Genomic DNA, 14,421 nt, shown 5'->3' with positions numbered 1-14,421 from the left:
TGCTTTATCAGAGATTCTATTTGGGATTGTCTGTCTTCATGGAAAGAGCAGAGAAAAGAGAGAATTTATTAGTAGTATAGCCAGCTTTTTGGCAAGTCTTTCAAAACCTCAGGGAGGGTCTTCTTTTTCCACTCAGGCATATAATCAGCTAGAAGGAGCATTAAAGGCTTAGTAGGAAGAAAGATATATCCATTTATGCTTAGAAATCTTAGTCTATACTCTACTATATAATATGTCCAATTTTTAGCAAAATTTACAAGACATACAAAAAGTCAAGAAAAACCACACTCCTTAGAAATGAAGCAATCATGATAATCAGATCTGACAAAGGTGTTAGAATATTTGACAGGGAATTTTAAATAACTGTGATTAATATGTTAAAGGTCCTAATAGAAGGTATAAACAACATGCAAGATCATATGGGTAACTATTTTAGTAGAGAGATGGAAACTATAAGAAAGAACCCAATGGAAATGTTAGAAATAAAACAGTAATGGAGTTGAGAAATACCTTTGACAGGCACCTCAGTAGACTTGAGGCCGCCAGGGAAAGAGTCAGTGAACTTGAAGTTAGGTCAGTAGAGTTTACCCCAACTGAATCACAAGAGAAGAAAGAAGAAACACATATAAAACATCAGTACTCAGTAGTCATGGCATGATATCAAATGCCACAGCATAGAGGTAATTGGAATCCCTACAGGAAGAGAGAGAGGTGGGGCAGAAGGAATATGTAAAGAAATAATGCTTAAAAAATGAAAAGAAATAATGGTTGAGAATTTTCTCAAATTAATGACAGATGCCAAACCACAGATCCAGGAAGTTCACAGAATGCTCAATAGGGTAAATACCAAAAAGAATGTACCCCTCCATATTATGTTTAAACTACTGAAAACAAGCCAAAGAGAAAATCTTGAAGGCAGCCTTTTCTTGAAAGAAATTACATACAGAGAAACAAAAATAGGAATTACAGCAGACTTTTTGTCAGAAATCATGCAAATCAAAGACAGTGTTGTGACATCTTTAAAGTACTGAAAGAAAAAACTGTCACGTTGGCTCATAAAATGAATTGGGAAGTATTGTCTCCTCTTCTAGTTTTCTAGAAGATACTGTGTAGAATTCTTATTACCTTTTCCTTAGATGTTTGATAAAATTTGCCAGGGAAACCATTTGGGCCTGCCGTTTTCTCTTTTGGAAGGTTTTAACTTACAGAATGAATTTCATTAATAGATATAGGACTATTCAGGTGTTCTATTTCTACTTGGGTGAGTTTTTGTACTTTGTATCTTTCAAGGAATTATTCCCTTTTATCTAAGTTGTTGAATTTATGGATATACAGTTGTTAGTAGTATGTATCTATTACTATTTTATTACATAGGATCAGTAGGAATGTCTCCTTTTTCATTCCTCTATTGGTAATTTGTGACTTCTCTCTTTTTTTCTTAATCAGTTTGGCTAGAAGTTTATCAATTTTATTGATGTTTTCAAAGAACCAACTTTGGTTTTATTGATTTTCTCTGTTTTTCTGTTTTCAATTTAATTGATTTCTGCTCTTATCTATAATTTCTTTCCCTCTACTTCCTTTGGGTTTTATCTTCTTTCTCTAGTTCCTTATGGTGGAAGCTTAGATTACAGTTTAGAGATCTTTCTTTTTTTCTAATACAGATATTTAATGCTATAAATTTACCTCTATGTGATGCTTTTTCTACATCCCACAAATTTTGATATATTTTAATTTTAATTCCATTCAAAATATTTTCCCCTTCTCTTGAGATTTCCTCTTTGGCCCATTGATTATTTAGAAATGTATTGTTTATTTTTCAATTATTTGTTAGTTTTCCAGAAATCTTTCTGTTTTTGGGGATTTCAGTTTAATTTGATTATAGTTCTGTTTCTAGTTCTATCCCTTTAAATGTTTTGAGGTCTATTTTGTGCCCTAGAATGTGATCTCTTTTGGTGAATTTCTCATAGGCAATTGGAAAGAAAGTGCATTCTGTTGTTATTGTTGGGGGAGAGGAGTTCTATAAATGTCCATAAATGTATAATTAAGTCTAGTTGGTTGTTACTGTTGTTCATGTCTTCTATATTCTTACTGATTTTCTCTCTACTTGTTCTACTAATTACTGAGAGAGGAATTTTAAAGTGTCCAACTATAACTGCAGTTTGGTCTATTTCTCCTTTCAGTTCTGTTGGTTTTTGCCTCACGAGCTGTGTACACATTTAGGATTGCATGTCTTGGAGAATTGACCCCTATGTTATTATATTATTATAGAAAATCCCTAAGATTTTCTTTTCTCCTAAGATTGGGAACAAGGATGCATTTTTATGACTAACATGAAAAGAAAAATGACAGACCAGTAGCCCTCATGAATATAAATATAAAAATCCTTCACAAAATATGAGCAAATCTAATCCCATGATTAAATACAAAGTATAATACCTTCTGACCAAGTGGGGTTCATCCCAGGAAGGCAAATCTGGTTCACCATTATAAAATCAATCATTAGCCTTCACCGTATGAACAGACTAAAGAATATGCAGAAAAAGCACTTAACAAAATTTAAAATCCATTCATCATTAAAACTCTCAACAAACTAGGAATTGAGGGAAACCTCCTGAATCTGACATAAAACACATATAGCCAGGATTATACTTGATGGTTAAGGATTGTTTTCCTCCTAAGACTGGGAACAAGGATGTTGTCTCTTACCTCCAACTGTCAACTTTGTACCAAATACTATGGCTAGTACAATAAGGCAAGAAAAATAAAAGGCATACAGATGGGAAAGGAAGAAACAAAACTATATCTGTTCTTAGATGACATGACTGTCCACATAGAAAACTGCAAAGAATCTACACAAAAGCTCTTAGGATGAATAAGTGAGTCCAGCAAAGTCTCAGGATACAATACGGGTCAATATCCAGAAGTCAGCTGTATTTCTCTACAGTAGTAATAAACATTTAGCATTAGGACATTTAGAATGTTTTTAATTTGAAATTTTAAAAATATAATACATTTAACATGTATGAAATTGAAGTTATGTGAAAATGTATTATATGGAATATAATATAATACTTAGGTATAAATCTAATATGTGTGGAATCAAAAGGTCAAAAACTACAAAACACTGATAAAGAAGCTTAAATAAATGAAGAGATGGAAGGCTTGTGATTATGAAGATACCAATTCTCTGCAATTTGATCTACAGATTAAATGTAATCCCAGTCAAAATCCCAGCAAGCTCTTTTTGTAGAGATCTAGAAACTGATTATAAATTTTATATTGAGGTACAAAAAATTATAATAGTCATATGAAAAAGAATAAAGTTGGCAGGCTCACACTGCCTAATTTCAAGACTTACCATAAAGCTCCAGTGTGGTATTAGCAAAAGGGCAGACAAATAGATCAGTGGAACAAAAGAGAGAGCCCAAAAATAGACCCGCACAAGAAAAGCCAAATAAATTCTTTTTTTAAAGGTACAAAGGCAATTCAGTGGAGAAAGGGTAGTCTTTTCAATGAAGAGTGCTGGAACAATTGGATGTCCATATTGCAAGAAAAGGAACCTCCACGTGTATCTCACAGTGCCAAAAGCATGATACATAAAAGAAAAAATTGGCAAATTTGGACTTAATCAGAACTCAAATCTTTTGCCTGGTAAAAGATACCATTAAGAAAATGAAAAGTCATGCCACAGACTAGGAGAGAATATTTTCAAATCATAGATCTGGAAAAAGTTTTTTATCCAGGAGCCAGGTGCAGTGGCTCATATCTGTGGTCCCAACTACTCGGGAGGCTGAGATGGGAATATTGCTTAAGCCCTAGAGTTCAAGGCTGCAGTGAGCTGTGATGTTGCCACTGCATTCCAGCCTGGGCTACAGAGTGAGGTCCTATCTCTATAAAGAATCAAGTCTTTTTTTCCAGACTAAATAAAGAACCCTCAATTCAATAATAAAACATAAATGTAAAAATGGGCAAAATATTTGAACAGATACTTCATCAAAGAAAATATAAAGATGGCAAATAAGCATATGAAAAGATGTTTAACCATTAGGTACTAGGATAATGCAAATTAAAACCATAATTAAGATAGAGCTATATACCTGTCAGACTGGCTAATATTTAAAAAGGTACAGTTGCTGGTGACAAATGTGGAACTACTGGAACTCCCATTCATTGCTAATAGGAATGCAAAATGGTACAGCCACCTTGAAAAAGATAGGCAGTTTCTTATAAAACTAAACATTCACTTATGATATGACCCAGCTAACTGACTACTAGGTGGATTTTTAAAAAATTTCTCTTCACACAAAAATCTGTGAACCTTTACATTAGTTTTAAAAAATAATCACCCCAAACTGGAAACATCCCAAATGTTCTTCAACAGGTGAATAGATAAACTAATTGTAGTACATTCATGTAATAATAGAACACAACACAGCATCAAAAAGGGACACACTATTGATACGTGCGATTGCTTGAATGAATCCTAAAGGCATCATGCTGAGTGAAAGAAGACAGACCCAAAAATCTACAAATTGTGTGATTCCATTTATATGAGATTCTGGCAACAGCAACACTGTAGGGATATGTGATAACAGTGAAGTGTATATTTGGTCTTCATCCAGTTTCCTGTCATACAATTCCTAAATCCTTAGAATCTCCAAAGTGATGTCATTTTGTGTGCTAATGAATTGACTGATGGCTGGCAGCCCCTAAGTAGCTCCAGGATGGCAACCAGTCACAGCAAAGACCAGGGCAGGATTAGAGGGCAGGATTAGAGGGTAGGATTAGAGGGTTGAGCCTTTCACTCTACCCCATAACCTCTGGGGAGAGGGAGAGGGTTTGAAGGTTTAGTTGATAATCAGTGGCCAATGATTTAATTAATTGTGCCACCATAATGAGGCTTTCATGAAAACCTGAAAAGGACTGGGTTCAGAGAGCCAAACAGCTGAACACCTGGAGACTCCTGGAGGGTAGTATGCCCAGGAAGAGTGTGGGAGCTCCTTGCCCCTTCCTCCGTGCCTTGCCCTATGCATGGTAATATCTTTAAATTTTTATTTTTTTTCATTGACACATAATAATTGTACATATTTAGGGGGTACATAGTGATGTTTAGATACATATACTATATAGTGATCAGATCTGGGTAATTATATATCCATCATATCAGACATTTATTATTTCTTTGTGTTGGGAAGATTCAATATCCTCCTTCTAGCTTTTTGAAACTATATATTATTGTTAACTGTCGTCATCCTACAGTGGTATAGAGCACTAGAACTTATTCCTCCTATCTAGCTATAGTTTTGTATCCTTTTAACAAATCTCTTCCTGTCTCTCCCTTCCCACCTTCTAGTATCCTCTGTTCTACTTTTTACTTACATTGATCATCTTTTTAAGCTTCCACATATGAGTTAGAGTATGCAGTGTTTCACTTTCCATTCTTGGCTTATTTCACTTAACATAATGTCCTCCAGTTCCATCCATGTTGCTTTGAATGACAGGATTTCATCCTTTTTATGGCTGAATAATAATCCATATAAACCCATAAATGTAAGTAAGTGTTTCCCTGAATTCTGTGAGCCACTAGCCAATTAATCAAACCCAAGGAGGGAGTTGTGGGAACTCTGATTTATAGCCAGTCAAAAGCACAGGTAAAACAATCTGGGGCTTTCAGTTGGCATCTGAAGTGGGGGCAGTCTCCTGGGACTGAGCCCTCAACCTGTGGGATTTGATGCTGTGTTTGGATAGATCATGTCAGACTTGAATTGGAGGATACTTAGCTGGTGTCCACTGCAGAACTGATTAATTGATTGGTGTGTAGGGGAAGAAAGCTCCATACCTTTGGTTACAGACACATTCTGTGTTGATTGTTGTGGGGTAAGAATAGAGGAAAAATAGTTTATTTTTTTGTCTCTAGTCACAGGATGGAACATAGAGCGCTGTTTTTATGGCTTGGGATTAGGAGGAGGGATTAGCTAGAAAAGGACCACTTAAGGACATTCAGAGGATGATGGAACTCTTCTGTATGGTACCCTCTTGGTGGATACATAACACTATGTGTTTTTCAGATCCCATGGAATTGTGTACAACAGAGCTATTTTTTACTGTATGCAAATTAAAAAAAACAAAATCAACCAGGAACCAAAGATAGAATGCAAACTATGACAGAAGATCTAAGTGTATTCAAATGAATGACCTAACCACATTGTAGGAGGTGGAGGAGAAAATCGTATGTTGAGTGGATATTAGGCTAAAGACAAAAAGTACTGTATACAAGTACTGTACTCTAGTTGATATTTTTTTTCTTACCAGGATATGGGCTAACAATTCTGTTATCCTTACCAGGATATGGGCTAAAAATTTTTTTGTGTACATGTACACTTAACATATATACCAGGATTGAATAAATAAGTAGCAAAGTTTTTACTGTCAGAGACAGAATCAAAGGAAAAATGCTAGAACAAACTCTGTGGATGTTGGGTTGAAGTCAGAGGTATCGGTATGAATCAGTATGAGTGCATGCTTTTAAATACACAGAGAGTTGCACACACACAGAGTTAGTAGATATAAAAGTAGATATGGCTATGTGTGTATACATCGGTTAGTGTATATATGTCTTTGCTCTGTCCACTTTGAGGACCTAGAAGCAGTGACATCCCAGTACCAGTGAGCAACCTAGTACCCAGATTTTGGTTTCTAAATACCATTCTCTAATAAAAGGGACCTTGGAAAGCTTTGGAGAAGTGTTTTATTCTAGTACTGGGTCAGCAGAAACATAAGATGAGCTTAGAATATTTTGTGGTGTCAGAAAGTAGGCAAATACTTTTAAAAAGAAAGACAAAAAAAAAAAAAAAGAAAGATGGCGCATGTCAAAAGGGTACAGGAGCCAACCCGAAAGATCTCACAATGGCCAAAGCTGTAATAATGAGCTACAAAATAACAGTAATATTGGATTATGGCCCAGAGCTTAAAAAATACCCATGAGCCTGTACTGATAGGAATAAATGATTGAGCAAATAAATAGGAGAGAAAGAACAACTCTTCCTTATAGAAGTATTACAGATAATAAATGTGGAAGGAAGGAGGGCAATAGAAAATCACCATGGGAACACCACTGTAACACTTGCCTCAGTGAGACTCACCAATGAATGCAAAGTTAATGGGCAGAACCTTAATAAATATTTACCCAAAAACTTCTCCCAAAGGATATTTTATTTTGTATATTTATTTATTTATTTATTTATTTATTTTGAGACAGAGTCTCGCTTTGTCACCCAGGCTGGAGTGCAGTGGTGCGATCTCGGCTCACTGCAACCTCTGCCTCCCGGGTTCAAGTGATTCTCCTGCCTCAGCCTCCCAAGTAGCTAGGACTACAGGCACCCACCACCACACTTGGCTAATTTTTGTATTTTTTAGTAGAGATGGGGTTTCACCATATTGGCTAGGCTGCTCTTGAACTCTTGACCTTGTGATCCACCTGCCTCAGCCTCCCAAAGTGCTGGGATTACAGGCATGAGCCACCATGCCCAGCCCAAATAATATTAAAAAGAAAAATAGTGACTTTATAATGGAGAAACCCAGCAGACATCCCCTCATGTAAGTGATGAAGGTTACCATCACCAGTAATCAGATACTGTGTCCTCTCTGCATAACGATGCACTGAATGGGCATATCACTTCATTGCCCCCTACATTCACAAGCACATCTAATTATGGGAAAACTTAAGATAATCCCAAAATGATGTGCATTCTTCAAAATACCTGACCAAGATTTCCCAAGTGTCAGGGTCATGAAAGACAAGGAAAGACAGCGCTGTCACAGGTCAGAGGAGCCTACAGAGATACAGCACAGCTCCATGCAGTGTGGGTTCCTGGATCAGATCTTGGACCAGCATAAGGACATAAGCAAAACAGCCAGGGAAACAGAGTGAAGTCTGTAGTTTAGTTAATAGTGTTGTGTCAATGTCAGCTTGTTAGTTTTGATCATTATACTGTGACGATGTAGATATTAATATCAGGAAGCTGTGTGAGGGGTATGTGGGAACTCTGTTCTCTCTGTGCAGCTCTTCTATACGTCTAGAATTATTTTAATGTAAAAAGCCTTTGTTTTAAAGCTAACCAATGAGAAAAAGGGAAGAATACGTGTTCTTTGGTGTAGATGAAGGAGCATCAAGAGCAGAAAGAGACTTTGTGCCTCCCTAAGCCAGACTTTCATTTTACAGCTGGTTAACTGAGGCCCAGAGAGCTCGGGGGGCTTGGCCAAAGCCACAATGCAAGTAGCTGGAGGGCAGGACTGGGATTGGGGGAGCGGGGCGGGGTGGGGAGCGGGGTGGTTCCTGACTCATAATATGCAGCTATTTGATCTTATCCTATCTCTGCTCCAGGGTTGCATTTTCCTCTAATTGTTCTGATAATGATATTTCTGCTTTCCATGTTTTTAAAAGTAGATTTCATAGTCTTGGTTAAACATCATGTTGAATCAAATACCACCCATGTTCCCTGTTGTGGGTGTCTTGTTTTCCTCATTTCTACCCTACAGGTGATGGCTTATGTATTTGTCTTACTCTGTTCAGCAGAAATTGGAGACCAGCAAAAGGCCTCCATCTGGAACTTCCACTACCTCCAAGAGCACCTCTCCAACCCTCACGCCCTCCCCCTCACCCAAAGGGCACACTGCAGAGTCCTCAGTGTCTTCCTCGTCATCCCATCGGCAGTCCAAGAGCAGTGGGGGCTCCAGCAGTGGCACCATCACAGATGAGGGTGAGTCCCCTGAGGGCCTGAAACCCCACCTATTCCTCTCACCATGATGACCTGGCAGCAAGGAACTGCAAGGTGACCTTAATTGCTATAACCATCCTAGGTCAGGTTTTAAGAAGATTTACGACAAACATGTCCCTCCTCTTCTCTGATTGTACCTTGTATTTTTGTCTTCACTATGCTAAAGGTATGGTAAGCTCCCTCAAAGAGTTTTTGAGTATAGGTGATTTTTGTTTACATGCACAAACATACACCCATGGAAGTGCTTCTCCAACACGAACTTACTTTCCCTGGACCCTGTACCTGTCAGGATTCTTTCAGTTGTGAGTGAGAGAAACTCCACTCACACTGGTTCAAGGGAAAAAAATGAAACCTGACATTTCATTGGCTCATATGATGGGAGTGTCTAGGGTGTGCTTCAACCATGCCTGAATTCAGGTGCTTTGGGAGTGTTTCCAGGTCTCAGGTAGGTTCTCTCCAAGTGGTGGCAAGCAGCTTCAGGCATACTTTTGTCTTCCCACCAATTTTTCAACTCCAGCAGAACGAGTGCTACTTTCTCAGTAGGTCCAGCAAAATCCCAAGTGTAAAGGCCATTGGCTTGGCTGTATTTATAATGACCTAGGTCAGTTGCCCTCCCTTGACTATCTCTGTGTCCACAGGGGTGGAATGTGGTGATTGGCCATGCCCCTTCGGTCAGTTGTCTGCTTTGGAGCGGAGTTGGGGTCCAACCTACTGACATATGTGTATTGGAAGTGGGAGAGAAATAGTTCCTCAAAGGAAAATTTGGAAATACTGTTTCCAGGAGAAGGGGGATGGGTGAGGGCAAGCAAAAGCAGTTGATGTCTGCTGCAACCAGGAGAGCCTTGGAACCTGCCTTGTGAATTACAGCCTCTGCAGCCCCCATGCGGGAATGATGAGGGAAGATGGAGTGGGTGGTAGGGCAGGAGCAGAGGCTTTGCAGTCAGGCCCCAGGAAAGATAAAGGCAGATGAAGAAAGGAATCCCATCCTTTTAAACTGCCCTCTAGAGGCCTGTAGGAGCTGGGATGGGGGAAAGAGGGAGGAAGCTTTGGTGAGACCTGGGGTCCAGGCAGGTGCAAATCGAGGAGTATAAGTCAGCAGGGAGGAAAATCTGATTGTGTTCGTGGCCCTCACAAATGCGTTTGCGGGCAGTTCGCTGCAGCTGCTGAGGAGTAGGGTGCTGAGCAGGTTCTGCTGAGCAAGATAAGTTGGAATCACTTGCACAGGCTCTAGTCTGTACTAAGTTGATAAATGCATGCTGCCACTGGTGTCCTCCTTATTTGGGGGCTGCTTTTATTGTTTTGTGATATCCAGTGTGATCATTTATCAAGGCCTCAGAGATTCACCAGCAAACTCATTCCTCCCCAACCATATTTTCTATGTGGAGTCTTGAGTTCCACACTCGTGAATTCTCCCACCTCTGAGGTTTTCAGGAATTGAAGCCCCTAGAGATTCAGTTAGGTATTTGTGCCCCATTGTTTTCCAAAAAAGAGTGGAGACAGTGGATGTCTGTATGGACTGTTTGTACCCACTCTCTTTCCCTCTTGTTCATTATTAAAAATGGTTTGCAGAGTCCTAATTGGGATGAAAAAAGAAGAGGGCCAATAGCACTTTCTTTGTAGAATAATTTCTCTGGTTCATAAAGCTTAGTTTTCCTGTTGAGAGTTCCTGGGTCCTGAGGCAGCGAGCCCTTTGTCCTGTGGGTATATGATTGTTATAGGCCGGGGGCTGCAATCCATCCCCGAAGAGCTTTTTTTTTTTTGAGACGGAGGCTTGCTCTGTCACCCATGCTGGAGTGCAGTGGCGCGATCTCGGCTCACTGCAAGCTCCTCCTCCCGGGTTCACACCATTCTCCTGCCTCAGCCTGCCAAGTAGCTGGGACCTCAGGTGCCCGCCACCACGCCTGGCTAATTATTTTGTATTATTAGTAGAGACGGGGTTTCACCGTGTTAGCCAGGATGGTCTCGATCTCCTGACCTCGTGATCCGCCCGCCTCGGCCTCCCAAAGTGCTTGGATTACAGGTGTGAGCCACCACGCCCGGCCCCCAAAGAGCTATTTTTATTATATTCTTCTGGGAAATATTTGGTCCCAGTCAAGGACACGTGAGCTTTTCCCTGCCTCATGTCTCCATCTGCATTCCTCCTCTCTGGACTCCACCTGTTGAAGCAGCAAGGCTGGTGACAGCATCACCTTCTCAGCCTCACATTTGTTCCAGGAAATTTTCTTGGGCAGTCCCCTGGATGCCCTAACCTATGCACCCAGGGGAACTCACAGGGATACAGACACATTCAACATAATGACATTAGAGTGTAACACAAGGTGAGGTCATACCTGTTATCAGCAAAGCACCATGTGCCATGGTAGGCTCCCCTGGTGAGCGGGCACTCCAGCTGGACCACGACACTGGGAAGAGATGGGCAGTGGGGTGCCAGAGCCGACTGTTCAGTTTATAGGACATGCCCAAGCTGGTTGTTAAACACAACCATTATTTACAAATTACATGAACTTCGAATTAACTGAATTATAGAAATATAACAGTATATTGTACTTAAAATGTATTTTTTACTCATTTTTGTATATTTTATTATCTGTGCTCTTGAGGTTGTGTATATCTCATACCTGCAGTGTGAATACCCCGTAATGATGTGTTCCTACTGCGCATCTCTGCTCAGCTTCACTTTCAGGGGCATTAGATTGGTAGGTTGAAATTGGCTATGATGGGGGTATTTACACCATGGAAATTGGCAAACACCATCAATCAGGGCTTGCTTTTTTTTTTTTTGAGATAGGGTCTTACTCTGTCACCCAGGCTGGGGTACAGTGGTGTGATCACAGCTCACTGCAGCCTCAACCTCCCTGGTCTCAAGCAATCCGGGGCTTGATTTGTTGTCTTATAGATATTGTCTACATGTAATCTAGGCAGTGATGGGAAAATGTTAACAATGAGGATTAAACTTAAAAGTAGGTTGTATCTGTAACCGTTATCTTGTGAGTAGCACAAAAAATTGAGAAAATACTCTTCCAGTATTTGAAAACCATTATCTGATTCAGCCAAGTTGCTCACCTGAAGTTCCAACGTAAGTCTTTGTTGTTTCTTTTTTATGTTTCTTGTTCATGTAAACAAAACTCTCAGCCAGTGTTCATGTTGGAACCATACTCCTTGGCTGTGGGTACAAGAGTAGGGCAAAAACAAATGAAAGCATTTGGTGAGAATCAATTGGCTATATGGAATTTATAAGAAAGAATATTGTATTTTTTATTATTTGTAAATTGTGTGCTATAAATCCTTTATATCAGTAAATCTGCAATAGATTTATGTGCCTATATACATGCATACACCTTCCCCCGAGAACCAGTTGTTAAACATTTACCAGCACACCACTGTGGACCAAGGCTGCATGTGTAGGGAACAGCAGGAGCAAAGGTTTGGTGTCATGAAATACAACAGATTATGTGTGGATTGGGATTTGATTTGTCTCATACATCCTCGCTCAGTAGCCTCTCTACTGTGAAGCTTTCCCTAGTACCTTGGGCTGGGTCAGCTGTTCTCTCTGTCCCCACATCCCCCTGTTGTTGCTCTTCACCATAGCATGCACCACCCATGAGAAAAGTGGAGAGTGGGCGCCTAGCACAGGCCTGGTAGCTAGACCACTGGGCTTGAGTCCCTGCTTTGCCACGGACTAGCAGGATGACCTCACCCAAGATGTGGTATCAAGCCTTTCTGTGCCTCAGTTTCTCATCTGTAAATGGGGACAGTAATAGGATCTACCTCATTGGTGTTGTAAAGAGCAAGTGGGTCATCCATGTACAGGCTGGCTGATAGCACTGTGTATTAGCTTTCATCCTCCTCATCCTATCCTCCCAGCCACACTGAGCTTCATGACAGGGACCTCTCCATCCTTGCTACCTAGTGTCCATTGGGCACAGTGGTAGTCACTGCTGGAAGGAAGGAAGGAAGGAAGGGAAAGAGGGAGGGAAGGAGGGAAGGAAGGTTGGTTGAATGAATGAGTTAAAAAAAGAAGGAACCTAAGCCTCCTAATCACTTCTTTAAGCTGCATGCACTGCCTCACAACCTTTACACCTGCTCTTCCCTGTCTGGATGCTGCCTAATGCTCTTACTCCAGATATCTGCATAGCTCACTCCTTCATTTACTGCTCATAGATCACCTTATAGGAGAGTCTTTCCGTGACCATCTTCTGTAAAACAGCGTTTGTAAAACTGGAAATGCTGTCATTTACCTTGATGCTGCTCTCTTCTTCCTTGCTGTCTTGCCTATCAGCCTTTGTTTGTTTGTTTGTTTGTTTGTTTGTGACAGGGTCTTGCTTTGTAGCCCAGGCTGGAGTGCAATGGTGTAGTGGCATAATTGCAGCTCACTGTGGCCTCAAACTCCTGGGCACAAGTGATCCTCTTGCTTCAGCCTCCCGAGTTGCTGGGACTACAGGCACACACATCACACCTCCTGGCTAATTACTTCTAAATTTTTTGTAGAGATGAAATCTCATTATAGTGCCAGGCCTGGTTTTGAACTTTTGGCCTCAAGTGATCCTTCATCCTTGGCCTCCCAAGATCCTGGGATTACAGGCATGCACGACCTGCCCGGCCTCTGTCAGCCTTCTTATTGTCTGTTTTGGTATCTATTGAGTCCCCAGTTCCTAGTTTGGCAAATCCCTATTGAATGTGTGAGTAAATATTTCTCCAAGCCCCTCAGGTGCTGGTTTTGTCTCCTTTTCTTTATTCTCCCTGTTCTGACACCCCAAATCATCTTCTTGTGCCCTTGTGGCTCTGCTGTTCCACATAGATGCCTTTTTCCTTCAGGAAGGCCACAGCCTCTGCACACTTGAGCCAAACCCTGGTTCTGGTCTGAAGCCCACCATCTTCTTTCTTAAGTTCTTCCTCACACTAGCTAAGGACTTGCTGGCATTGGCATTTACTGCAGGCATTGGCATTTATGGTGCTTTCTCACACAGAAGGCAGAGTTTTAGTTCTGGCAGCTGGAACTTCCAGAACTTGAGGGTCGCAGTCTGGAGGGAATCAGTCAGTCCTGGCCCAGACTCTCTGTGTCTTCACAGCCTGACGTGGAGTTTTGTTGATTGCTGAGGGCCTGCCTTGAGGGGAAGAGGGTGCAGGTAGCTCAGGACCCACCTCCAGCCTCATCTGCAGGAGTCCAGCTGAGATCAGCTTTCTGTGTTGGTGTTTCTTATAGAATTTCATTTGAAATAAGATTACCACTACTTTATAAAGGTTTGAAGACCACTTTACCAAATTCTAAAATGTGTTGTTTTTTTTTCACCTTTCCATCTTGAAGATGAACTGACTGGAATCCTTAAGAAATTATCACTTGAGAAATATCAGCCCATTTTTGAGGAACAAGAGGTAAGAATGCTCTTTTTGAATGTCAATTTAAATCTTACTATGAAAGAAAAATTTGTCTAAATGTGTAGGTTTTCATTTTGCAAGCCTAGATTGATCTCTTGCACTGAGACAGTTGAGGAAATAGAATTCGTGCTTAGCGGGATTAGTTCAGTTTGTTATTGTGAAATCCTGGGGACTTATGGCTTGCTTTGTTATGATAGAATTTTGTAATTTTGAGCACTGCTCTCTCTAGAAAAGTTTCTTCCTCTCCTGAAAACATTTTTTTTGTTGT

The 14,421-nt window shown here is 40.4% G+C and overlaps 1 protein-coding gene across 1 annotated transcript in view; it reads left to right on the top strand.

The window, feature by feature from the left end:
- The window catches only part of ANKS6 (ankyrin repeat and sterile alpha motif domain containing 6), a 64,547-nt gene that overhangs the window by 31,377 nt on the left and 18,749 nt on the right, over positions 1–14,421 (top strand). The window contains exons 12-13 of the mRNA NM_173551.5: positions 8,576–8,759; positions 14,083–14,150. Coding sequence (NP_775822.3) covers positions 8,576–8,759; positions 14,083–14,150 — 252 coding nt within the window. The remainder of the gene's footprint in view (positions 1–8,575; positions 8,760–14,082; positions 14,151–14,421) is intronic.

The sequence above is a fragment of the Homo sapiens genome, chromosome 9 (assembly GCF_000001405.40).
Source record: "Homo sapiens chromosome 9, GRCh38.p14 Primary Assembly".
Lineage (NCBI taxonomy): Eukaryota > Metazoa > Chordata > Mammalia > Primates > Hominidae > Homo > Homo sapiens.
The sequence above is the reverse complement of the archived record's forward strand: the minus strand, read 5'-3'. Positions and strand labels throughout refer to the sequence as shown.